This window comes from Homo sapiens, chromosome 20, assembly GCF_000001405.40.
Source record: "Homo sapiens chromosome 20, GRCh38.p14 Primary Assembly".
NCBI classification, from domain to species: domain Eukaryota; kingdom Metazoa; phylum Chordata; class Mammalia; order Primates; family Hominidae; genus Homo; species Homo sapiens.
The window spans coordinates 43,725,834-43,727,454 of NC_000020.11; the positions used below are offsets into that span (position 1 = coordinate 43,725,834).

Genomic DNA, 1,621 nt, shown 5'->3' on the forward strand with positions numbered 1-1,621 from the left:
CAGCTGTGATTCAACACACCTGGCTCATTTCTAACTCTTTTGCTGCTGCAAATAATGCTGCAGTGAATAAGCTAGTACTTAGCTCATTTTCCACATGTGTGATTATATTTACAGAATGAAGCCTGGAAGTGGAATTGCTCAATCAAAGCCTGTATGCATTGATAATGTTTATAGCTATTGTCAAATTGCCCTCTGTGGAGGTTGTACCAACTGACATTCTCACCAATGTTATGAAAGTGCCCATTTTGCCCTACCTTTGCCAGCAGAGTATTTTAAGCCTTTTGATATTTATCAATCTGCCAGGTTAAAAAAAGAGGTAGCCCAGGGTAGTTTACTTTGCATGTCTTTTATTCTGATGCATTGCACGTTCTTCCATGCATTGATGAGGCGTGTGCTCCTTCCTCAGCTGGCAGTTTACTGTCCTGGTCTGAGGATCTTCTGGGGACTGGTCTCTCTTGCTGACTCTTTCGTGTCATTTTCACAAACAACCTTTTGAGGAAAAAAAGTCTTAAGGACAAACACATGCTGGCAATTAGCGCCATCGACATTCCAGATATCGGGGCTGGGAAGGCAGGGTGAGACCTGCTGGGTGTCATCGTTCTGCTCTGAACTAGGAGGACTGACTTTCAGAGGGTTCTCGGTGTCCTCTTCTTCCACAGCGCTCCTGTTGACACAAACAGCCTCATGTTCCTCCAGATTTTTGATGGGGACCACGTGGCAGGCGTTGTATTTGCAGGTGGCCATCTTTTTGGCTTTCTTGGGGTTCTTTCTCCTGCACGATGCCAGGTGGTACTGGAATCTGCTGAGTGGGATTCGGTGGTGAGGATCATAAGGGCAAATTTCAAAGGCTTCTGGCTCCATGAGAAATTCTTGAAGCAGGGTATCTCACTGCTAGAGTCTAACGGAAATGCTTCTTGTGGAGAAGCCCTTTTGTAAGAAGGATGGAGTTGTCCTCTGCCCAGTTTTGGCCCTTGGGATTCTGTAGGTGACGGTCTTAACTTGTGGTCTGTTCTCTAGGACTGTGAGTGGTGGATTAGAAGAGAGATGAGGAGCTGCCAAAAGCAGCTACACAGAGAACAGAGTTAGCAAATGGCACCCGAGACAGAACTATAGCAGATGCAAGAGCCAAAAACCCACAGCCGCTTGACTCACGGATATACTATGATGTCAAGCTGCAGTCACCGGTGGTCACAATGGGCAGCCTAAGTCATCAGGAAGAGGCTATTGTGCACTGCTTGGGAGGGGTGGATGGCTTTGGGAATGCTGCCATCTAAAATTGCTCATGGATGTATGTTGTGACTTAAGTCTTTTAACTGTACGTATTTGTTTTTTGTTTTTGTTTTTGTTTTATTTGAGACAGAGTCTCGCTCTGTTGCCAGGCTGGAGTACAGTGGTGCGATCTTGGCCCACTGCAATCTCCGCCTCCCAGGTTCAAGTGATTCTCCTGCCTCAGGCTCCCGAGTAGCTGGGATTACAGGCACCTGCCATCATGCCCGGCTAATTTTTTGTATTTTTAGTAGAGACGGGTTTCACCATGTTGGCCAGGCTGGTCTTGAACTCCTGACCTCAGGTGATCCACCCGCCTCAGCCCCCCAAAGTGCTGGGATGATAGGTGTGAGCC

The 1,621-nt window shown here is 47.3% G+C and overlaps 1 protein-coding gene across 3 annotated transcripts; it reads right to left on the bottom strand.

The window, feature by feature from the left end:
* Nucleotides 1–330: 330 nt before the first annotated feature.
* GTSF1L (gametocyte specific factor 1 like) lies at nucleotides 331–1,169 on the bottom strand. 3 transcript variants are annotated; one of them, XM_005260298.5, is made up of 2 exons: nucleotides 625–1,169; nucleotides 331–489 (listed from the first exon to the last, which is right to left on the bottom strand). In XM_005260298.5, exons 1-2 carry the CDS (start codon nucleotides 859–861, stop codon nucleotides 415–417), a joined length of 312 nt encoding a protein of 103 aa, XP_005260355.1. In that variant the 5' UTR covers nucleotides 862–1,169; the 3' UTR covers nucleotides 331–414. The 3 variants fall into 3 exon arrangements, with proteins under 3 accessions (XP_005260355.1, NP_001008901.1, NP_789761.1); NM_001008901.2 differs by having other exon boundaries at nucleotides 331–507; nucleotides 583–1,169; NM_176791.4 differs by having other exon boundaries at nucleotides 331–1,169.
* Between the last annotated feature and the right edge of the window lie 452 nt (nucleotides 1,170–1,621).